At 44.1% G+C, this 24,638-nt stretch overlaps 1 protein-coding gene and 1 long non-coding RNA gene across 3 annotated transcripts in view, besides 2 other annotated features; one reads left to right on the top strand and one right to left on the bottom strand.

Annotated features, from left to right (window-relative positions):
- The window catches only part of DLGAP2 (DLG associated protein 2), a 970,849-nt gene that overhangs the window by 823,594 nt on the left and 122,617 nt on the right, over positions 1-24,638 (bottom strand). The window lies entirely within an intron of this gene.
- LOC105377777 (uncharacterized) lies at positions 1,657-5,712 on the top strand. Its single transcript, NR_160729.1, has 2 exons — positions 1,657-2,127; positions 5,285-5,712. It is a non-coding gene; the product is annotated as an uncharacterized LOC105377777 (long non-coding RNA).
- Positions 23,375-23,874: an enhancer, noted in NCBI's record as "H3K4me1 hESC enhancer chr8:811009-811508 (GRCh37/hg19 assembly coordinates)". NCBI's record gives its function as "activates a minimal SCP1, AML or CMV promoter by ChIP-STARR-seq in primed H9 embryonic stem cells {active_cell/tissue: H9 hESC(primed)}" and the evidence as "EXISTENCE:reporter gene assay evidence [ECO:0000049][PMID:30033119]".
- Positions 23,875-24,376: an enhancer, noted in NCBI's record as "H3K4me1 hESC enhancer chr8:810507-811008 (GRCh37/hg19 assembly coordinates)". NCBI's record gives its function as "activates a minimal SCP1, AML or CMV promoter by ChIP-STARR-seq in primed H9 embryonic stem cells {active_cell/tissue: H9 hESC(primed)}" and the evidence as "EXISTENCE:reporter gene assay evidence [ECO:0000049][PMID:30033119]".

Below are 24,638 nucleotides of genomic sequence, written 5' to 3'. Positions count from 1 at the left end.
TTCAGTAAAATGGTGGTGGGAAAACTAGCCAGCCATATGCAGAAAACGGACAATGGACCCCTTCCTTACACCTTATACAAAAATTAACTCAAGATGGATTAAAGACTTAAATTTAAAATCCAAAACGATAAAAATCCTAGAAGAAAACCTAGGCAACACCATTCAGGACATAGGCAAGGGCAAAGACTTCATTGAAAAATGCCAAAAGCAGTGGCAATAAAAGCCAAAATTGGCAAATGGGATCTAATTAAACTAAAGAGCTTGTGCAGAGCAAAAGAAACTATCATCGAAATGAACAGGCAACCTACAGAATGGGAGAAAATTTTTGCAATCTACCCATCTGACAAAGATCTAACATCCAGAATTTACAAGGAACTTAAACTATTTACAGGAAAAAAAAAACATCGAAAAGTGGGCAAAAGATATGAACAGACATTTCTCAAAAGAAGACATTTACACAGCCAACAAACATGAAAAAAAGCTCAACATCACTGATCATCACAGAAATGCAAATCAAAACCACAATGAGATACCATCTCATGCCAGTCAGAATGGCAATTATTAAAAAGTCAAGAAACAAGAGATACTGCTGAGGCTGCAGAGAAACAGGAAGGCTTTTACACTGTTGGTGGGAATGTACATTAGTTCAAACATTGTGGAAGACAGTATGACAATTCCTCAAGGTTCCAGAACTAGAAATACCATTTGCCCCAGCAATCCCATTACTGGGTATATTCCCAAAGAATTATAAATCATTCTACTGCAAAGACACATGCGTATGTATGTTTATTGCAGCACTATTCACAATAGCAAAGAGATGGAACCAACACAAATGCCCATCAATGATAGACTGGATAAAGAAAATGTGGTACATATACACCATGGAATACTATGCAGCTATAAAAAGCAAAGAGATCATGTCCTTTTCAGGGACATGGATGAAGCTGGAAGCCATTATCCTCAGCAAACTAACACAGAAACAGAAAACCCAACACCACATGTTCTCACTCATAAGTGGGAGATGAACAATGAGAACACAATGACACAGAGAGGGGAACAACACACACCAGGGCCTGTTGCGAGTTAGGGAGTGGGGGGAGGAAACTTACAGGATGGGTTAATAGGTGCAGCAAACCACCACAGCACCCGCGCTCCTACGTAACGAACGGCCGCGGCACACGCGCACCTACGTAACGAACCGCCGCGGCACACGCGCACCTACGTAACGAACCGCCGCGGCACCCGCGCTCCTACGTAACGAACCGCCGCGGCACACGCGTTCCTATGTAACGAACCGCCGCGGCACACGCGTACCTGTGTAACAAACCTGCACATTCTGTACATGTATCCTGGGTTTTTTTTTTTAAGAAGAAATTAAGGGAAAAAAAAGAATATGCATTTGCATATCAAGTAATAAAAGCATTATTGTATTTTTTTTTAAAAAGGATCATTATTCTAAATTTCTATGTGACCAGGGAATCAAAACAAGATAAGCTTCACAACTGTCCCTAGGCCAATGTAGGCCCAGGCTTACCTCCCAGGGCAATGAATCCTTCTATCCGCCATACAGTGCCTCAGGTGACTCACCCACAGCGAGACTGTGACAGCTGGTCCAGACAGCCTGAGACGCTGCCAAGAGAACGGTCACTGCACGTGGAGGCCGTGGCCAGCAAGGTCTGCCCAGTGGTGGGTACAGCACGTGACTTCCACTGAGATCACAATCAGAAAGCTATTCCTCACTGAGAGAGAAGAATCCACTCCATTCCAGCAACACAGGACATCACAGGACATACGCACTGCTCAGGAAATCATCTGACCTGGCCCTGCAGAGCACGGGACCCAGGAAGATTGTGTTAGAGGACCAGAGCCCGTGTGGAGCACAGGGAGGGAAACAAAGCTTGTCAGTGTCACCAACAAAAACTCAACTTCTGACATTAATCCTGAGTAGTTACCCATGCCCAGACCGATGCAGAGATCCGACCCAACAAAACAACGTCGCAGCGTGAGCAGCCGAGAAGTGACGACACCACGGGGCGGAGGGGAACGGAGAGGAAAGCTGCTGACGCCAGGGAGAGATGCCGCTGGGCCAGGCACGGCTGCCCGCAGGAGAGGCCTCCGCAGGGAGAGGTACCGCTGGATCAGGCGAGGGTGCGCGCAGGAGAGGCCTCCGCAGGGAGAGGTACCGCTGGATCAGGCGAGGGTGCGCGCAGGGGAGGCCTCCGCAGGGAGAGGTACCGCTGGATCAGGCGAGGGTGCGCGCAGGGGAGGCCTCCGCAGGGAGAGGTACCGCTGGATCAGGCGAGGGTGCGCGCAGGGGAGGCCTCCGCAGGGAGAGGTACCGCTGGATCAGGCGAGGGTGCGCGCAGGGGAGGCCTCCGCAGGGAGAGGTACCGCTGGATCAGGCGAGGGTGCCCGCAGGAGAGGCCTCCGCAGGGAGAGGTACCGCTGGATCAGGCGAGGGTGCGCGCAGGAGAGGCCTCCGCAGGGAGAGGTACCGCTGGATCAGGCGAGGGTGCGCGCAGGGGAGGCCTCCGCAGGGAGCGGTGCCGCTGGGCCAGGCACGGGTGCCCGCAGGAGAGGCCTCCGCAGGGAGAGGTGCCGCTGGGCCAGGCACGGGTGCCCGCAGGAGAGGCCTCCGCAGATCTCTGATGATGTGCTAACTAAATTAGATAAATCCCCGTCATGTCTCATTCATGTCTCAGGCCTCAGCTGGGTCTCACGTCTCATTTGGAGCATCACTGACGCCTCTCTTAAGTTCTCTATTAAGGAGCCATTTCAAGTATTTACAGGGAAGCCTCTGGACTGGGTGATATCATGTGACCAATGGCACACAATTCAGTGCCCAGAATGAACAGGACACAGGTGAGCACTTATGCCCTCTGGAAAGGTGGAATATACCACACGAGGCTATGAGTTTGCATGGCAGGGGACTCAGATATCCTGGAATGAATAAATTCAACCAGACTGGATATTGGGTGGGAGAATTTATATTTTCTCTGTGACACTTCACGGTTTATTTCTGGGAACAAAGTGACAGGGCATATGTTTCCAATAAAAAGAGAGATGGACTGGACACAGTGGCTCACACCTGTAATCCCAGCATTTTGGGAGGCTGAGGCGGGTGGATCACAAGGTCAGGAGTTCGAGACCAGCCTGGCCAACATGGTGAAACCCTGTCTCTACTAAAAAAAAAAAAAAAAGTGTGTGTGTGTGTGTTCAGCCACAAGTGGTGGCGTGCGCCTATAATCCCAGCTACTTGGGAGGCTGAGGCAGGAGAACTGCTTGAACCCAGGAGGTGGAGGTTGCAGTGAGCCAAAATCGTGCCACTGCACTCCAGCCTGGGCAACAAAGCAAGACTCCATCTCAAAAAAAAAAAAAAAAAAAAAGAGAGATGAAATGGTAAGGAGAGGATGAGAAAATAAATGTTCTTTTGCATTTATTTCTATTGGTGCATTCAAGTTTTCTCATTGTAATTTTGTTTCCAAAACAGAACAATCTGAGAAATAAGAATCTCTATTTACAGAGATAGAGATACAACCAGTCAAATTATCGGGGCAAACGTCCTACATAAAACTGAGGAATAAATGAGATTCACAGCCAAGCTAACTCCATGTAGATGTATGACTACTCTGAGAGAGTTTTATAGCTCAAATGAAGATCGCCTATTAATTTTCTGAAAAGTAAAAATCCCTATCCTAGGTCGCTTAACTTTCCTGAATTGTTTTAAGAAGAAAGATTCTACTTTGCAATAAGTAAGATTAAGTGTATTGCTCTAAGTCATTTTTATGTAATCTTCGCAAATTCTTGTGAATATCACCTGAGCTTTGCAAAATGAAGGTAGACCTTACTCACTTATATATAAGCCACTTACTGAGCACCTATCAAGCATGAGCTGTTGTGCAAGTCCTGGAGATAGAAAGTTGGCTGTGCAATTAGATATTAAGTGATACGACTAGTTATAAATTAACAGAGTGGAGATCAGGGCATTATGTTTATGCATGGAGGAGGCACCCACCCTAATTTAGGAGGGAGGAACTTCTTAGCAAAAATTACATCTGCGTTGAGTCCATGAACGAGCAGGAGTTACAGTGGCAAGTGGGGGATGGGGACATTCTCAGGAGAGAAAGGACCCACATACAAAGTCTCCCCAGCACAGATACCATGTCGCAGTCAAGGGCTGGAGAGGGGACACACACTGGACGGTCACCCCGACCCACCTATAAAGTCTCCCCAGCACGGATGCCATGTCGCAGGCAAGGGCTGGAGAGGGGACACACACTGGACGGTCACCCCGACCCACCTATAAAGTCTCCCCAGCACGGATGCCATGTCGCAGGCAAGGGCTGGAGAGGGGACACACACTGGACGGTCACCCCGACCCACCTACAAAGTCTCCCCAGCACGGATGCCATGTCGCAGGCAAGGGCTGGAGAGGGGACACACACTGGACGGTCACCCCGCACAGGAGCCAGATAGCAGAACCCTCTGTGTGTGAGTGTGGACACTTTCCTGGGGAATGATTTATGGTGTCTCATGTGAGACAGAAGCACATCTACATTCTAGAAGACGCATGGCCTCGGTGGCAGGATGCACAAAGTGTGTGCATGAGGAGAATATTAGAAGCACAGAAATTGATTAGGAGGATGTGGTCAAAAAGAGGGACGGAGGAACAAACCTAAGAGAAGGAGATGCAAGTGCAGTGGAGGGAGAAGGGGCGGGGCCAAGAACACAGGTGAACACAAACACCACGGATGCAAAGAAAACTTCCCCTCACCCCTCTCAAAGGAAAGACCAGTTCTGATGAATTTGGAAGCAGCAGGACAAGAAGGCCAGGACAGAATTTCCTGAAGACCTCTACATTTCTTACACAAAACAAGGGCACCCACTGGTTGCTGAGATCAAATGAGTAAAGAAGGAGGCTGCAGACTCGAGGGATATGGTTAAGATATAAAATTCCATTAGGGAGGAGAGACACGGAAGGAGAATGGAGAAGTGCTTGACAATGACATGGAGAAGACAGTCCAGGTAACAATGAGAGCTCACATAAAGTGGAGGCTGTTGTTGCTATGGTTTTATTTTTAGCAGCATCCACTGCCCAGATACATGGTTCTCCCTAGGAGCAATCAACTCTTTGGGGTATAGAGTGATAAAGGTCAATGATGAAAAAATTCAACAATGGAATTTTGCCAAGTGACAAAATGATAGATTAGGGAGGGAAGTGAGTCAGAAGGGAGGTTGTAGCACAAGTAACTAAAGAACGGATTTGTGTGTTCTTGGCTCCTAGGAAACTAATGAAGACAACGGGGAGATGGAGGAAGGAACCAGAGATGTTCAAAGACTAGATCGTGGGTCAGATGGTAATGACTCTAACCTAAGGCAGGGATGATGGCAGAAAGATGCCTTCACAGGACAAACTGAGCCTAGCGCTCAACACCCCCACCTGGGGAAAGTGACACCTGCATGGGAACTTATCCATGGGTACCACCAGACCCAAAGGACCTCTATCTTCAAGTAAACCCTACGCTCCCCAAGCAGACAGTGTCATTTCGGTGAATGTCCTAACAGCAAAACAAATTTCTTCTCCGGGGAATGGTCTTCACAAATTATTGCCCAGAGAGTGAATAATTCTTCTCTAGTCAGTGGCTAACAGGGAAATTATCTATGTGCCTCTGGACTTGTTCTTGTATCACAGTGAATAAACTGGTCCAACCCAAACTGACACATCCACAAACTCCCTTTGTGATCCTAGGTAAGATTTTAGATGGCATTTGTCAATGTAAAAAATAAAAATAAAGAACATAATGTAATCAAGTTGCTTTCACACACAACCTAGTTGGTTTTGGCCAATTAGGATATTGGTAGGCTCCTTCATTGAGCCCAGACCAGAGTACCATCAGTCCCAGGACTCTAAAAGCCATCTGTCTTAGTCCCTTTTGTGTTGCTATAACACAGTATCTGAGGCAGGGTAATCTGCAAAGAGAAGAGGTATTTAATTCATGATTCTAGTGTCTGCGAAGTCCAAGAGCATGGTGCCCATGGCTTCTGGTGGGAGCCTTGTGCTGTCTCACAACATGGTAGAGAAGTAGGAGGGGAAGTGGGCCTTGTGAAAGAGAAGCCAAACAGGAGAGGTGGCCTCACTTTATAAAATCCACCTTCTTGGAAAGCAACCCATTCCCAGGAGAACTCACTCCTGAGAGATGGCATTTAATCTCTCCATGAGGGTCCCTCGTGGACCAAACACCTCCCACCACTCAACACCATTACACTGGGGACCAAGCCTCAGTGAGTTTTGGTGAGGACCAACCATACCAAACCATAGCACCACTGGAACAACAAGATTGAGAATGGCTATCACAACATGGAAATCCTAACCCATTTTCCTAGAAATATACTCTCTCATTCATCCCAATAGCTCTGCAGTCCCCACAACCTCTACTTATCGTCCTCTGACCCACAACCCCACCACCACCTTCACAAGGAAGAGCAAAGCATTCATCAAGAATTTTCTGAACTTTGAACCACAAAACCTACCGTGTGTTCCTCTCTGATTTCCGTTACATTCAGAGGGTCCCATGGATCTCAAACTAAACACTCTAGCTCTGTTCTATATCCCGTATTCTCCTAAAAGAATTTGTTTCTATTAATTATTCCATCTCTGTCTATAAATTCAACTTTCCTCCCACCACTGACTTTTTCCCATGAGTACTTAAATATATTCAAGTCTCTCCCATTGTTAAAAAATGGGAGAGTGACTTCCAGCATGACAGTATGAGGACTCCCAGTACTCTCAAGGAAAACTGTTGAAAATTATAGACAACAACAAAACATCTACAGTCTCTGAAAATGGTCCATTGGCAAACAGCAAATGAAGAAATATCTTTCAAGAGAAGCTACGAAAATTCAGGGAGACAAGTACCTGTGGGATTTGAACCAAGTCTGCTCTCTCCTATCCCTCCCAGCTCAGAAAGTCAAGAGACTCCACTTGGGATGTCTTCATTTTTCTGCTGGAGAAGCAGGACAAAAGCAGATGGTTATGGGCCATCGCTAGCATTCAGAGCCGTGGAACACAATCTCTTTCCAAAGGAGCCAAACCTCATTTGCACAGAATATGAAGAAGCTTAAACCTAAGGGAGCTCTCGGGAGCATTGGAATTTGTGGTGAAATGCAACTGGGAAGAGATTCAAGACACAGGTGAACCTGTAGGTTACTGGCTTGCAGGGAAGAACTAGGGAATAAGACAGCTGGGAGGATCCTTCTTGTGTCAAAGCAAGTATCAAACAGGAACCTCAAACTATTCCTTCAAAGAAGCCACAATTTGATTAGATTTATTTGTGAAGCAATGTATGCCCACAATTGCAATCAGCAGCAATTAGTGGCGTTTAATAGCTGCCTGGGTCAGGGACAGAGAGGAAGAAAGCCTGCCCATACCACTGTCAACCAGGTAAGGGGGTCACACCCAAAGCTGCAACCCCTGCCCCCAACAAGGAGCCACATCAGAGGCTAAACACCATGGGGGACAGGGCAGAGAGTCTAGACTCCTCTAAACAAACCCAGCCAATCACTGAACGAAGAAACAACAAAAACAAGCCCAGGTGTGGGGGAAGGACCACTATCACTGGCAAGAACTGTGACATTATATATCAAAATGTCCAGTTTCTGACAAAAAATCATGAGACATGCAAAGAGATAGGAAAGTATGATCCATACAATGAAAAAACAATAAGAGGCAGGCAACACAAACTACCTGTGGAAGTGACCAGAGGCCAGGTTTATTAGAAAAAGATTTCAAAGGAGTCATAAAGATGTTCCCAGAACCAAAGGAGACTATGACTGAAGAGGTAAAGATGGTAGAAGAATGTTGCAAAAAATAAAAAAAAAAAAAACCTGGTAAAAATATAGAAATAACCATATGGAAATTCCGCTGTTGGAAAAGTAAAATAACTGAAATAAAAACTCATTCGTGGGGTTTAACTGTAGATTCCAACATCAGGAAAAGGAATAAGCAAACTGCAAAACAGATCCATAGATGTTCTGCAAGCTAAAGCAGAGACAGGAAAGAAGACAGAGACAACTGAAGGAGCTCAGAAGCATAGGGCACCTAGAGCACACAAACACAAGCACAATGAGAACATCAGAAGGAGGTAAGAGAAAGCAGCAAAAAAGATATGCAAAAAATAATAGCTGAAAACCTCCCAAACATACTGAAAAACAATAATGTACACATCCAGGAAGCTCCACAAACTCCAACAAGGATAAAAGCAAAGAGAGTTACAAACAGATAAGTCACAGTACAAATACTGAAAGTCAAAGAAAAGGTGAAAATCTTAAAAGCTACAAGAGAAAAATGACTTGTTACTTACAAAGGAAATCCAATCTGATTAATAGTTGACTTCTCAGCAGAAACAGTAGAGGCCAGAAAAGCAGTGGTATAACATACTGAAAGTATTCAAAAGAAAAACAAAACTGTCTATCACGAATGCTGTATCCAGAAAACCTATTCTTCAAAAATGAAGACAAAATAAAGACATTTCCAGAAAAATAAAAACTCAGAGAATTTATTGCTAGCAGATCAACCTTACAAGTAATTCTAAAGAAAGTTCTTGAGGCTGAAAGCAAGTGACCCCTGATAATATTAAAATCCACATGAAAAATTAAGATAACTGGTAATGGTAATTACATAATTATAAAAGACTGTATTAACATATTTTCTGTCCTCCTAACTGATTTAAAATAAAATTGTATAAAATAATACATATGAAAAAGCTTGGTGGACCTATCAAACATAAAAATATATGTGTAACATATTTGTCAATAACAGCACGAAGAGGGTTAGTGGAAGCAAAGCTATGTTATACTAAGAACATAATTACAGGTGGTAAAGTCATAATTATAACAATGTGCTGTTGCGTTTGCAACATTAAGAGATGTAATAAGTATAATAATACCACAGAAGAGGGGAAACATAGTATAGCTACATAGAAGTAATGCTTCTATTTATTACTAGAATTATGCCAGCATAAGTCTGAAACTGATTTTAATAAGCTAAAACATATATGGGAAACTCTAGAGCAAACACGAAATAAATGACTCAAAAATATAGTGAAAAAATCCTTAAGTAACTTAAAATGCTACAGTGGAAAATATTCACTTAATGCAAAAAAATGAGTAAGGAGGGATGAAGAAATAAAAAAGGTATGAGACTATATTAGTTCATTCTCACACTGCTATAAGGACATACTCACGACTGGGTAATTTATAAAGAAAAGAGGTTTAATTGACTCACAGTTCAGCAGGGCTAGGGAGGCCCAAGGAAACTTACAATCATGGTGGAAGGGGAAGCAAACACATCCTTCTTCACATGGCAGCAGAAAGGAGAAGAATGAGAGCCGAGGGAAAGGGGAAGCCCCTTATGAAATCACCAGATCTCATGAGAACTTACTATCACGAGAATAGCATGGAGGAAACTGCCGCCATGATTCAATTACCTCTCACCGGGTCCCTCTCATGACACGTGGGGATTATGGGAACCACAATTCAAGATGAGATTTGGGTGGGGACACAGTCAAACCATATCAGAGACATATGAGGGGAAAAAAGTAAAACAGTAGATGTAAATCCAACTATATCAATGATAATATTAAATGTGAATGGATTAAATAATATAATCAAAAGAAGCATGTTGTCAGACTTAATTTTTAAAAAAGATCCAACTCTACCCTGCCTAGTGGAGATACACTTTAAAGATTAAAAGATACAAATAGATTGAAAGTAAAAGGATAGAAAAATATATTATGCTAACAGCAATCACAAGAAAGCTAGAATAGCTACATTGATATCAGACAAAATTGACTTTAAAACAAAAACTGTTACTACAGATAAAGAGGAACTAACTATAAAAGAGACAACCCATCAGGAGCAATAACAATTATAAATATATATGTACATGTGTGTATGCATATGTAGACATACATATATACACACACATGCACCTTAACAACAGAGCACCAAAACATGTGAAGCAAAAACTGACAAAAATGAAGACACAAGTTCAACAATAGCCGAAGACTTTAATACCACACTCTTAATGATGGATAGATCAACTAGACAAAAGATCAACAAGGAAAGAGAAGGCTTGAACAACACTGTAAACCCATTAGACCTAGCAATCACCAATACAACATTCCATCCAACAACAGCAGCAGAATATACGATCTTCTCAAATGCACATAAAACATTCCCAGAATATACCATATGTTAAGCCATAAAACAAACCTATTATTAAAAATAAATTTAAAATGATACAAATAACACAAATTGTTTTCTCTAATCACAATGGAATCAAATTAGAAATCAACAACAGAAAAAAGTTTTGGAAATTCACCAGTTTGTGTAAATTAAACAATGTACTCCCAAATAACCAATGGGACAAAGAACAAATCCCAAAGGAAATTAGAAAATACTTTGAGGTTACTGAAAATGAAGACTCAACACATCAAACCTTATGAGATGCAGCCAAAGCAGGGTTCAAGGGAAATTTATAGCTGTAAATGCTTCTATGAAGGAAAAAGAAAGACCTCAAATGAAGAAGCTAAACTTCCACTTTAAGATACTGGAAAAAGAAGAACAAACTAAATGTAAAGCAGGCAGAAAAAAGAAAAAATAATAATATTAAAACAGAAACTAATAGAGAACAGAAAAAAAGAGAAAGTAAATGAAATGGAAAGGTGGCTTTTTGAAAATATCAACAAAATTGACAAACTTTTAGCTAGATTGACAAAGAAAAAAAAGAGAAGTCTCAGTTTAATAGAATCAGATGAAAGAGGGGTATCATCACAGACCTTACATAAATAACAAGGATTGTACAGGAACACTATGAATAATTTTACACTAACAAAGTAGATGCCCTAAGATGAAATGGACACATTTCTAGAAAGACACAAACTACCAAAACTGACTCAAGAGAAAACAATCTAAACAGACGTCTCGAGAGTGAAGACTGCAAATCAAAAAACTGTCCTCCCAAAGAAAAGCTCAGGCCCAGACGACATCTCTACTGAATTCTGCCAAATCAAAACAAACCTTAACTAAGCCACAAAACAAACTTTCTTTATATCTATTTAAAGAACAATTAATAACAATGCTTCATAAATTCTTCCAAGAAATGGAAAAAAAGCAGGTACTTCCTAATTCATTTTATCAGGCCAATATTACTCTAATATCAAAGCCAGGCAAATACATCATAAGAAAAAAAGGCTAAAGATGAATATCTCATAAATATAGATTAAAAAATCCTCAACAAAATATTAGTAAAATGAATGCAGCAATTATATATAGAGAATTATAAAGTATTAATTAAAAACAAGCAATAAGTTAGAAATAGAAGGAAAGTTCCTTGACTTAATAAAAGGCATCTATGAAAACCACATAACTAACGTCATACTTAGTGGTGGAAGACTAAATTCTGTTTCTCTAAGATCAGGAACAAGACAAGGATGTTGGTTCTCACTCCTTCATTTCAAAATTGTGCTGGTGGTCCTAGCCAGGGTAATGAAGAGAAGTAAAAGGCATTCAGATTTAAAGTAAGAAATCATAAAACTACCTCTATTTCCTGATGGCATGATATCATATACAAAAAAATCTAAAACATTCACTAAAAATTATTAGAATTAATAAATGAGTTTGGCAAGGTTGAAGGACATGAGGTCAATATAGAGAATCAGTTTTAATACTATTCATGCAAAGCATTTACACTATATTAAGTTTTATAAATAATCTAGAGATGATTTAAAGTATGTGGGAGCATGTGTGGTCAATATAAAGAATCAGTTGTAATACTACACATGCATACATGCACATAGTACTTACACTGTATTAAGCTTTATATGTACTCTACAGATGATTTAAAGTATGCAGGAGGATGTGTGTAGGTTATAGGCAAAAATAGCCTTTTGCCATCAGGGACTTGAGCATCCGTGGATCTGCGTATCTGTGGGGGTCCTGGCACCTGCCCCACCCTGGATATTGAGGACTGACTGTGCTGATACAGGAGGCAGGGGTGGAGGACAGAGAGGGTGCCTAAATAGTGCAGGGCTTCAATTTTGGGTGAGGAGAGTGTTCTGAAATTGACTGTGGTGATAGTTGCATGTACCTCTTTGAATATAATAAAAGCCAGCGGATTGTACACTTTGAATGGGTGAGTAGTATGGGGTATATGAATTATATCTCAATAAAACTGCTTTTAAGAAGTGAGAGAAGGCCGGGCGCAGTGGCTCACGCCTGTAATCCCAGCACTTTGGGAGGCCAAGGTGGGTGGATCACCTGAGGTCAGTTTGAGACCAGCCTGGCCAACATGGAGAAACCCCATCTCTACTAAAATACAAAATTAGCCGGGCGTGGTGGCACATGCCTGTAATCCCAGCTACTGAGGAGGCTGAGGCAGGACAGTTGCTTGAACCCGGGAGGCAGAGGTTGCTGTGAGCCGAGATCGCGCCGTTGTACTCCAGCCTGGGCAGCAAGAGTGAAACTCTGTCTCAAAAAAAAAAAAAAAAAGAAAAGAAGTGAGAGAAAACTTTCCTCTGTTGAAAGGAACTTTAGCTGTCATTAAATATAAGTGCAGCATCTTTTCATCTGTCCTAATAGTTCTGGCTTTGAAGTTGAATAATAAAAAAATATAATTTAATTACATTATTAAAAATGAACCTTAGAATAAATTCCTTCTAAATTTCTGGAGAAAAATGAGAAGAAAGCTCACTAAATACACACATAGCATAAAGAAAACCACATAATTTTCTTAAGTTTCTAAGCAATGAAAACAATGATATAAACCTAAACAAGAACAGCACAAAAATATCTGTTATAATCATATCACAAAATCTGTTATATGTGTGGAAATAGCTAACGCAAAAACTGTAGAGTATGTAAGAAGAAATTCAACAAGAACAGCCCAAATAACACCAAGTAGACAAAAAATGCATGAAGGGATGAAGACCTTGAAAGAAATATTAATAAGAATTACTTAATATACATGCCAACAAGTAGGTGGGCCCACCTTTCTCTGTGAGACGCCACATCCTTAACAGAGGGTCAGTTTCTCCCATTGATCTGTAAATCCAGCTCAGGCTGAGTGTCCCTTACCCAAAATGCGTGGGACCAGAAGTACTTCAAATTGGTTTTTTTTTTCATATTTTGGAAGATATGGACTATACTTATCTGGTTGAATGTCTCAAATCCAAATATCCAAATCCGAAATGCTCCAATGAGCAGTTCCATTGAGCATCATGTCAGCTCTCTAAAGGTTTTGGAAGCTGGAACACTTTGGATTTCAAATTTTAAGATTTAGGATGCTAAACCTGGATAATCCCAATCAAAATTTCACACATAATTCTTTAGAAACTTGAAAACTGATTTTAAAGTTTATCTGGATGAAGAAACATGTAGGAAAATGAGCAACGGTGGACTCAGAAGCAGGATCACCCTGTCAGATTTGACAAAACTCGTTCTTAGAACAGCAAAATACAAAAGTAACCCAAAGTGCAAATGGAAATGTAGCAGGTGATAAAGGTTCCATCCAAAACTCAACTAACAGTTTGGACAGAAGATAGTGCAGCCAATTAATTCAGGTGTGGACACTGGATGGCCATCTGAAGAAATGCACGGGGGACCCTGGACCGGGCCTGCAACCGGCCTTCTCTGTGGGAAGGGGTGCAGGCTGGGCAGGGCACGGCACCCAACGGTGGCATAAATCCTCACAGGCAGACACCTGCACACTGGTGCCCAGAGGTGGTCAGGCTCTGACTGATGTCAAACAGTGCGCACTGCCACAGAACATCTCAGGGAAGGTTAAGGGGACCACTGAGTCCCTTTTATTTATTCTGAAGAACCAGGGGAAGGAAAATGTTGAGCTCAGGTGCCAGATACGTCTACCACAGTTACGCATTTTGGAATTAGGGGAATGACCACAGGATGGTCACAGAGACCTGCTGAGCCCCCAAGACGTGATTCTCAGATTCCCGAGTTCTGTCCTTATCAGCGGTGAGGGAAAGAGAGCCAAGACTCCAGGCCCGGCCCGGCAGCCCTCCACTCCCTCATTCATGGATGTCACCAGGGCACGAAGACATGCGGAGACCCACAGCCCACTCCAGGGGCTCAGGGAATGTGCTGGGGTGCTGAGGAGGTTTCTGGAAATCTCTCACCAAGAAGCGGCAGATCCAAAAGCTGGATAATAGTCTGGATTAGGGCCATGGCCACAGGAAGGAAAACCAAAAGAATGAGGCTGTGTTGTGCCTGAGGAGTCCAGGAACCAGAGCAGGAAGTGAGAGGAAACAGAGCAGGAAGTGAGAGGAGACAGAGCAGGAAGTGAGAGGAGACAGACGGCAAAGGGGTGAGAAAGTGCAGGAAATTTGAATTCTCCAGGTTTTCAAGCCGGGGTGCCAAGGAGACAGACCCACTAACATAAGCAGTGAGTCTTCAAGGGCAGCTGCGTGTTTAGGGTCCTGGGAGGGAACAGGAATGCCGGTTTTAAGAGCTGTCAGTACCTCTCAGTGAAGATGTCCAGTACTGGAAGAGAGGTCAGCATGGAAGACAGAGGTTTATAAGCATCATCTGCATGATTGTAATAACCGCACTTGTTAAGTGATGACAGCTCAGGGATCCTGTCAGGAGAAATATCGGCGAGAAAACTTTGGAAAATATCCACATTTTGGAGGAAAGAAATAGCCATAGAATAAAATCAAGATAATGGACTATTACAGAAGCCAGAGAGAAAATCTTAAGAAAGCAATAGTTTTGTAGCTACAAAATGGTTAAATGTACAATAAGAAATGAAAAGACGACCCAGAATTTGACTTTAAGTCTCAAATCATTTTTTTTTTTTTTGTAAATTAGGCACGGTATCTTTCTCAGCCAGTTTCTAAATGGCCCTGCTCTCCTGAAGAAACCACCAATAACCTCATTCTGTACTCCCTGATTAGTCCTCTTTCCAGAGCAGAGTCCCGCTGCTCAGAATGTGTCCTTTCCTGAGCAGAGTCCTGCTGTTCAGAACGTGTCCCGCTGCCGGGGTGCCCATCAGGCCCGCCCACTCGTCACCATAAACCACCACATCCAGCTTCTGTGACCCAGATTTGGGGAAACAGGCTTGCCAAAATATCACGGGTTCTCTCCCAAGCACTTCCTGATCCCCGAATGTTCCAACTACGGTTCAAAACATGCGCATATTCATTAAGACTAAGGAGTCTTTTATTTTTCTTATGTTGATTAAATTCACCTTTATCCAGCTGCCAGCCTTGGAAAAGACAGGGAGGTCTTGGAGTTATTAAAAAGCCCATGTTTGAGAGCTTTTAAAGTGATTAATTGTGACATGCTATCACTTTCCACGGAGTAAAATAAAGAGACGTCTATTTTAATTACTGTATATTTGAGCCCTCAGCGTACAAACGTAAACCAAATTTTCTTTTGCTGAAAGAGAAAACACGCAGCATTCTTTCAGCTAGAGAAACAAAACTGCAAATAAATCTCGGATTCAGGATCTGACAGGGAGGGCGTGACTCTTGTAACGGAAACAAGTACCTTCAACTCACTTCATCAAATGTGGTGCAAGAAGGACGCGAAAACAGCTTAACAGTAACAGAAGATCCACACTGTGACTTCCAGCCACCGAGGAACCGTTTAGGGGTGGCTGGTTGGTAACCACAGGGAAAACAAATGAACTGACTCAAAATTACACTAAGCTGTATATGTAAATAAAGGGGAAGAAGAGAGGCGTGAAGCAGGGTCTCGAGGAGGAGAGGAAGGAAGGGAGGGCCCAGGGCAGCCGGCCCAGAAACTTGCTTTCTGACTTGGTACTCAGGACGCCTGTGGAGAAACCCGGCAGCCTTTTCTGTGGATCAAAGTTAGACCAAACGGTAATCAAAGCTTTTCTGAGACAGCAATTTCAGTTTTTAAATTGTCACATATTCACTTCATTGTGGAGAACGCAAAACACCAGGAGACACAATGACTGGAACCTGCGCGGCCCCCACTTCACCCTCACTCTGGGCTGCCTGACGCGTCCAGCCTGCAGTGACCGCGCTCTCTAGGCCCGGAGGTGCGGTGGCCTCAGATGAACACGTGATCCACCTGAAGAGGGAACACTGTTTGTGCAAGAGGACTCCAAGGTGACAGACAGGGCTGCAGACGCCTCAGACACACCAAAGCCCACACCAGCACCTTCTTCAAGGTGCCGCGCACCCTTGGAAGAGCACATGAATGCTCCAGCGAGGCAGACACTAACGTAACCTGCAGCTCTTCTTTAGATCATCTCAGAGATGATGGACACTTTTTCTGGATTAGTGACACATCACCGTCTCCGGTCACTTGAGACTGACTCTGAGCAGTGTGGCTGTGGGGCTGTGAAACAGTGCACGGCTCACCGTGCGCCAACCAGGGACCTTCTCACAGCGAGATGTTTCTGTGAGTGTCGTGTAAGATGACAAAGATGGCTCATTTTTCTGTAGATAAACCTCTTCTGGAGGAACAGGTGCTAGGTGACCTTGTAAGTACATGCATCCACATGTGGATACAAGAACAGGATCAACAGCAACACTAACAACGAGACACACCTCCACAGCTGCTGACATACAAGAGCCACAGCTATTCCAGAACATGTGACCCCACAGGACAGACAAAAATAAGTGCTCAGAATAAAAAACAATCTTCTTCCTCTCATAAACCCTTTACTCACTGTATCCATAGGGTTAATTACACTCCTTAAATATAAATAATAAAGAAAAAATGCAACATCATTTTTAATTAGCTTAAAGTATATAACCATTTTGAAAACTGACACCTACAAATAATTTGTAAGTATCATACATTTTAAGCAATGGATGCATGATGGATGAAGCCATTGCTGAATTTTTTAATAATACAAAAATATTAAACTATCACCTCAGATGTTAACAAATCTTTTCATAATGAGTATAAAATTGGCACAACTGCCAACAGAAAGTTGAGCAAATATGTTTGTCATAAATGCGTTACGTGGAAAACTAAACACACCGCTTAAATAATGCTCAGCTCACATCTCATAATTTTGAGGTTTATTCAAAACAGAATCATTCAAAGCTTCACTTCCCCTATAAGAAACCAATATGAACAGGAATTACGCACTGAGAAACCTGCATCCACTACCACAGCAGAAAGCACAGGTGGCCAGGTGACAGCAATGTCTCACATTAAATCATGAGGCTACACCCGAGCCAGTGTCAGTGACTTATTCATCATCAGTAATCCCAGATCCACAGCCTTCTCAGATGTGTGCATGTCCCTAGAGCGTGCTACCACCAGGTCCAGCCTGAATGCAGCATAGAGAAAGCCACGTAATGACATAATCACAACACTGTTCCCCTTTTGTTCTCAACTAGTTTGGGTATCGAAAGAAGGTAACATCTCAAGGATTAGCGCCTGTTAGAACCCTCTGAAGGACCTTCTGTCTCCTCCTCCAACCAGGCTTCCTGCTGACTCCAGCAAATTAGGATAATCACAGCTTAAAGGGTTTATTTTTGCTAATTAAAACAAGGAGGGCACGAAGTTGGAATAATTATACATACTTGAGTTCAACATATTCCAACATAAAGCTGCAAAAAGCAAAGAGCTGGTTGCATCCAGGAAAGACCCAAAGAAAACTCAGCATTTTTCTTGCATAAAGCAAATAGATCCCCGATCAACAAAGATAACATTAATTTACGAACTCCGTGTCTGAACTGAGAAGTCTGTGGTCACTTTGCCCACGGTGACGGCCGGTAGGCGGCACACGAATCAGTGGTACCGGGTTAGACAGCTGACAGGTGAACAGCACAGAACGGCGGAAACCTGGATGTCTGACTCATGGGGAAGGACAGAGGCCCTCGATTTGGAGAGAGAACAAACCCCAGCACAAGGCAGTGAGCCTGTAAGGGATGAAGACACCATCTCCAGACCCTGGGAACGTGGCTTCCCTGGGAACGTGGCATGTTGGGGCGACAGGAGAACACCGGCTCTGAGCAGCTTCTCCCAACAAGTCACAGGGAGCGGGAAAGGCCCAGGGGACCTGGAATGAATGGCAAATCCCAGTCTGAGTCATAGAAAGGGAGAAACGGTCGATTCTAGAAAGGAATATTTATTATTTTGATGCTCACAGCACACAGCGTCTGGGAAAGTATTTAGAAGGCCCTGGCGTGGTGGCCAGAAGCTGCACAGCTCCCAGGAGCCGTCACAGGTGGCAGCAAGCGCTTCCCGATGGCCACATGGACCAAGGCCAACTCTCCAGCCCCACAGAGACACGACCCCCAGCACTCTGGTCCTTCAGACCCTTCTTTTCAGAATCAACTGACAGGCCAGGCCCTCGAGAAGTGAGTTTACCAGAAGGTGGGGACTGATCAGCTACCCTATGCAGACGGGAACTGAAATGAAAGCACTGGAAGACAGGCCTGAGGAGATGCTGCCCTGGACCCAGAGACATGGTTCCCAGGCCCTGGGCTCTCCTGGTCTGGTCACCTGCGCCCGCCTGGCACTGACTTCCAACACAGAGCACATGCCCCACGCACGTTTCCTGGACAAGACACTGGAAGGGGGAATCAGGGCCCCTTGTAGAAGAGAGTCCATGAGAGATACCGGCACGGCCCCGGAAGATCTGGACAGGCCTGGGGTAAGAAGCCTGGCCAGGCGCGGGGTGTCAGGGTGCTGAGGGTATGTGAGAGGCACCGAGGGCCCCGGCCAACCGTGCTGCAGGACACACAGAGCAGAGGACTCTGCCCGCCACTGTGCCTGAGATAAACCAATAAGCACCATGGCTCCGAAACACCATCCTGTCCCAAGAACACAGTTTCTTCCCCATAAAAAATTTAAAAAGAGACCCATAAAAGTAACTGGATTAGAATACCATACCCAACTAAGCACTCCCCTTGCCCTGTTTTGAATGTAGGCTGAACAGGGAGGGCCAGAAAAAGATGTTCTTATTTCAAGTGAATGCATTCAGCAGCTGTTCCCTACTGCCCTGCTGTGAGCCGCAGACCACACCTCTCTCTGAGGGGGCAAGCTCAGGACCCTGTAGCTGGGCAGACCCATCCAATGAGCTGGAATGTACACGAAGGTCCATCCCTGCCAGGAGAGAAAAGGGCTCCATGGCAGACATCCACGCAGCTCACAGCGGCCTTATAAAAAGAAGAGCACGTTGTGAGGGCGAGTGGCCATTCCCACAACCTTAAAACCGGATTTAGCTATAAACCTTATCTTTCCTAACAGTAAATGCCACGGAAGTGCATATGCTGGAGAGAGGTGAGCAATTTGGAAGGAAAAGGATGAGAAGGCAGATGAAGAATTATAGATTTTGGAAGTCACACAATGGCTCACAAAGTAAACTCAGCCCCGGGGAACATCACAGAATCTGATCAACACTGAGAACAGCACGAGGCTTGAAAGGAGGCTGCAAGTAGACCTGACGCCGCAAATCAAGACACATCCCAGAAAGTCTAACTCTAGAGCACAATCTTAAAACCCATCTTCTCCGCCAGAAGCTAATATAAAAGCATGAGCCTGTGGCATGAGCTCAGCGTTTAGTAGCAATAACTCTCCTCTCTGTCATTTGGTATTAACTGGAATTTAACAGAAACAGCTAGAAGATCCCTTAAAGGAAATTTCCATACATCAATCTTGCTGGAGCCAAGATGTTGCAGACAGCGTGTCCAGCGAGGGCACCCGTCGTCCTGGTGGGCCAGGTGAGCCTGTGGAGATCTGGAAGGGGCCCCCTTGTTCCCTGGGGGTCCTACAGGGACAGCGGCCATGAGACCGCATAGCTGAGATTGAAAACAATATCATTTCCAAATCTGAGAATGGAAACAAGGTTACTCCATCTAGAAAAGATTCAGATGTTCAACAAGTTTATATCTGAGATTCCTAAATCCACTTCCCAGTTTTCCTATATCTAAGAATACATTTAACTTGAAATATTAAAGAAGAAACATTTAAAGAGGGAGGTGTATAATTTGTCTTATAATTATCAATGACGAGAACACTGACCAATATAAATATTAATATTTTATATTTTAATATTTTCAGCCATCCCTTTTTAAAAACAAATTCTCAGTGTTAACGCAGGACCCTGGCAGCTCCCATGGGCCTCCCATCGACAGGTGCACCTGCTTCTGAAACAGAGAACACTCAGCATTGTGCAACGGCAAAAGGTTTACTGAAAGTGCACCGGTGACTGTCATCCTTGAATCCTATGCTTGTAGCTCCTCACTCCCAGTCATTTGAGCGGAAGTGAATTAAAATATCGTATCATGTGGAAGTAGCTTGATAATCCAAGTCTCTCCCAAAACCACTGCAGAGATTGGCCTTATATATTTTTCTGGCCAAAAGATGTCCCAGAATAGTGAGGTTTCTAAAATTTTCTAGTTGACTCACAATAGTTGTACTTATTCATGGGGCACAGTGAGATGTTCCAATCCACAGAGACTTTGTGCAATGGACAAATTAGGGTGTGTAGTGTTTCCATCATCTCCTACTTTCATCGTTTCTTTACGTTGAGAACATTCCAAATCTTTTCTTCTATTTTGGGACATACCGTACGATATTCTCACCTGTAGTCACCCTTCTGCACAGCAGCACACAAGAGCTTCTTCCCCTACCCAAGTCCCTGCACCTGCTAACTCATTTCCTGCATCCCTGTCCTCCCACCTCCCCTAGTCCCCAGTAACCATCACTCTACGCTCTGCTCCTGTGAGATCTGCTGAGATTCTGCACGAGTGGGATTATGCGGTGTTTGCCTTTCTCTGCCTGGCTCACTTTACTTAGCAAAGCGTCCTCTGGGTTTATCCACGTTGCCGCAAATGACAGGATTTCATCCTTTTGATGGCTGAGTCATATCCACTGTGTACCATATTTTCTTTATCCATTCACCTGTTGATGGACACACAGGCTGATTCCGTTTCTGGGCTGTGGGGAAGGGTGCCGCAATGGACCTGGGGGCCGATTCTCTTCCACACACCAACCTCATTTCCTTGGGGTTGTAGCCAGTAGTGGGATTGCTGGATCACAGCATTTTGAGAAACCTCCACACTGTTTTCCATAGCGGCTGTACTAATTTACATTTCCATCAACAGCGTGTAAGAGTTCCCCTCCCTCCACATCCGCACTGGCATCTGCTGTCTTTGTCTTTTTGGTGAAAGCCAGTCGAACAGGGGCCAGGGGACAGCTCGTTGTGGTTTTGATTTGTATCTCCCCGATGATCCGCGGTGCTGAGGATTCTATCAAACTGGAGCTTCTGCACAGCAAAGGAAACAATCAACAGAGTGAAGAGAAAACCCACAGATGGGAGAAAATACTAGCAAAGCATGCATCTGACAGCGGTTAATATCCAGCATCCTGAAATTTTAATTCCAAGTGGTGTGCGCACCAGTGGAATGCCGAAACACAACAAGGTGCTGTATCTGTTTACACAGAAATGAGAATGGAGAAATTATTCTTCACAGTGAGTCTAAGGACAGCTAACCTTAAATATTTGGGATGTCATCAATATTTGTTGTGTGATGCAATCTAGCACTCCATCAATGACTTGAGGGTTTACTTACAAGGAAATCCATGTCATTGGTATCAAAGCACATCCTTAAATAACCCTGGTGCAGAGCATGTCCAGACCCCAATTTCCAGTCCAATCCTGCCACTGCCCCTTCCACAAAATAGGCTGGTCCCTTAACCACTGTGTCTCTGAACCTCCTTGGCCGTGAGCAACAGGAATAATACGCACCAAAGAAACCTCACAGGATTCACACCTTCCAACGGAATCGTGCATGCATAGACAATTCACAAATAGCAAAGTACAAGATTTCACAGCATGTCCCTGAAATCCATTTCACTGCCATATTCATATCTGTATTTCTGGAGAGAGACACAAACTGACTCAGATATTCAAATAACCCATATCCTCTGTGGCAGTGGAAAAGTACTATGATTTATTTTCCTGATTTTGTGGATCAATTATGTATGTTAATAAGTAAAATATAAAACAACATCATGATCAGAGACCTCCCACAGTCCCATGTCAGCAGTGCATCCTCAGTCAACACCAGACTTTGGGGCCCTGGGGAAGCCATTTGAAAGCTGAGGCTTCAAGTTCAACCACGTCCAACTGGACTCAAAACACCTGAGGTTCCAAGTAACGGTGGACAAGATCTGTTCTCACTTGCTGATTTCACAGGTGAGAAAACTGAGGCTATGGTGGAGTCAAGAGGTTTTCCCAGGATCACACAGTTATTTCCAGGAATAAAACTGGAGTCTGGCCAGGCGAGGCAGCTCACCCCTATAATCCCAGCACTTTGGGAGGCCAGATCACGAGGTCAGGAGATCGAGACCAGCCTAGCCAACATGGCAAAATCCCGTCTCTAGTAAATATACAAAAAATTAGCCAGGCGAGGTGGTGGGTGCCTGTAGTCTCAGCTACTCGGGAGGCTGAGGCAGGAGAATGGCATGAACCCGGAAGGCGGAGGCCGCAGTGAGCTGAGATTATGCCACTGCACTCCAGCCTGGGCGACAGAGTGAGACTACGTCTCAAGAAAAAAAAAAAAAAAAAACTGGAGTCCAATCCTCCTGACTGTCCAGGACTCGCTCCAAGACACCTGAGAAAAGGGTACCGTCCACCACAGGACACGTGGGAATCTGGGTGCGACTCAGCCCGTGGATTATTTTTGTTCTGGACGAGGCCCGGAGCCTTCTCCTGGCCATGACACGGTGCTCACTCCACAAAAGAGACCCCACCATAAACTCATGAAACCAAGAAATGACTGTTTCTACAAACGGTTCAGGAGAATTACAGAAAACTGTGTTAGAAACACTGATGCAGAAGGTTGGAATTTCTTTCAAAAGAAATTTAGTCTAAACAGTTGGTGGGATGAGAATTTATGCATAAGTGCCTTTTAAAATAATTTCCTAATGAATTCAGAGGACAATTTGCATTTACTTATACTGAGCCCTACAATATTACCTAATGGATAAAACAACATGTGAATCATCAACAAAGAATAAAGCCTTGGCAAAAACAGCAGAACACCCACCAGCAAACACATTTCCACCGGGAGGTTAGGTGTGTCCTGCCTGCAAAATGGGACAAGCTGCGCGTCAACGCTGCTGTCCCTTGAGTAGGAACGGAGGCCTCGCCAGGTTTGCAACCGCCATAGCTAACACTGTGAAATATGTTTCTCGTCATTTCCTGAATTATTCCTGGGTTGTTTGGAATTCCATATTTGATTTCACATTAAAGGTAAAAACTTTTCAAAAGCGCTGTTAAAATAAAAGCGGATAAACTACCTGACTGTTTATTAATTTATTCTATCATTCGACAAGACCCTACTAAGCAGTAAGAAATACGACAGGAGCTACGGATCCATGAAATGTTTGGTCTCTTGGTTTCTGTTAAATGGCCAGAGCAGATTCCGTGCTAGGGGCTTCAAACTTCTTCTACTGCGAGCATGAGGAGAAGTACAGTCATCCCCGGTATGTGTGAGGAGGGGTTCCAGGACCCCGTGCAGACACCAAACTCCACAAATGCTCAAGTCCCTTATATAAAAAGGGGCAGTGTCTGTACCTAACCTACGCAGCTCCCAGATACGCAGCTCCTAGCTCCCGTGATAGCTAGGACATTGTAAATGCTATGTCAATAGTTGTTATACTGTATCGTGTAGGGAACAATGTCCAAAAGAAGTCTGTGCATGTTCAGAACACACACAATCATTCATTTTCCCAGATTGAGCCCTGCACCACCCGGTCCCGGCTGCCTCCCACCTCACTGCCCCACTCCCTCTCCTCATGTCCCCTCCGCTCCCGCTGTTCTCTGGCCACTTATAAACACATCAACCTCAGGGCCTTTGCACGTGTGGCCCCCATGTATGGAATATTTGTCCAGCAGGGGACAGGCACGGCTCTCACCTTCAGGTCACGAGCAGCCTTCCTACCCAAGAGAATGCCCATTGCTCCTCCACCCTAGTCCTACTTTACCATTTCTTCATAGGCGTCATGATTTGGTATGATATTACGGCATGATTTGTCTGCTTCTTCTCCGTCTTTCTCACTGACTCCCCGCCACACAGGGTGCACACGCTACCTGCCGTGTCTCCATCACCAAGAAGCATGCCTGCCACACGCACACGATTATGTTTTTGTGGAACAAATGAAAAAGTGAATGAAAGGACATTTATCATCTTTACATTTTTTGCCAATAAATAAAAGTTGAAAATGGTTTAAGTCCAGGATGACAGGTTAGGGATTGGAAAAGGAAGACTCTGTCAGTCCCCACAGTAACCACTGAGTCACTGCCATGAGTGTTATGCAAATGCAGACGGTTTGCCGGGAGGCGTCCACCCTTCCCATTCTCTACGGCCCCAGCGAAGTCATTTGGTCCAGGACAATGAAATTCATTCCATTGGGACAGAAAAGCCAAGGCGATGGATAATGGAGAGCCTTGAAAGTGTTTCTGGAGCCCAGGGCTGTTTTCATTTCTCAGCCGCAGCAAACAGGTCAGAAGCTCTGCTATTCGCTGGTGTCAGCAGAGCTGGCAGCGGCAGCCAGTGGTTGGTCACAAAAGAGATTTTTCTGCAAAACCCGGGGTGTCATCCCAAAACCCCATTCTAATT

The sequence above is a fragment of the Homo sapiens genome, chromosome 8 (genome assembly GCF_000001405.40).
Source record: "Homo sapiens chromosome 8, GRCh38.p14 Primary Assembly".
NCBI classification, from domain to species: Eukaryota; Metazoa; Chordata; class Mammalia; order Primates; family Hominidae; genus Homo; species Homo sapiens.
Note: the sequence above shows the minus strand (reverse complement) of the source record. Positions and strands in the feature narration are given on the sequence as shown.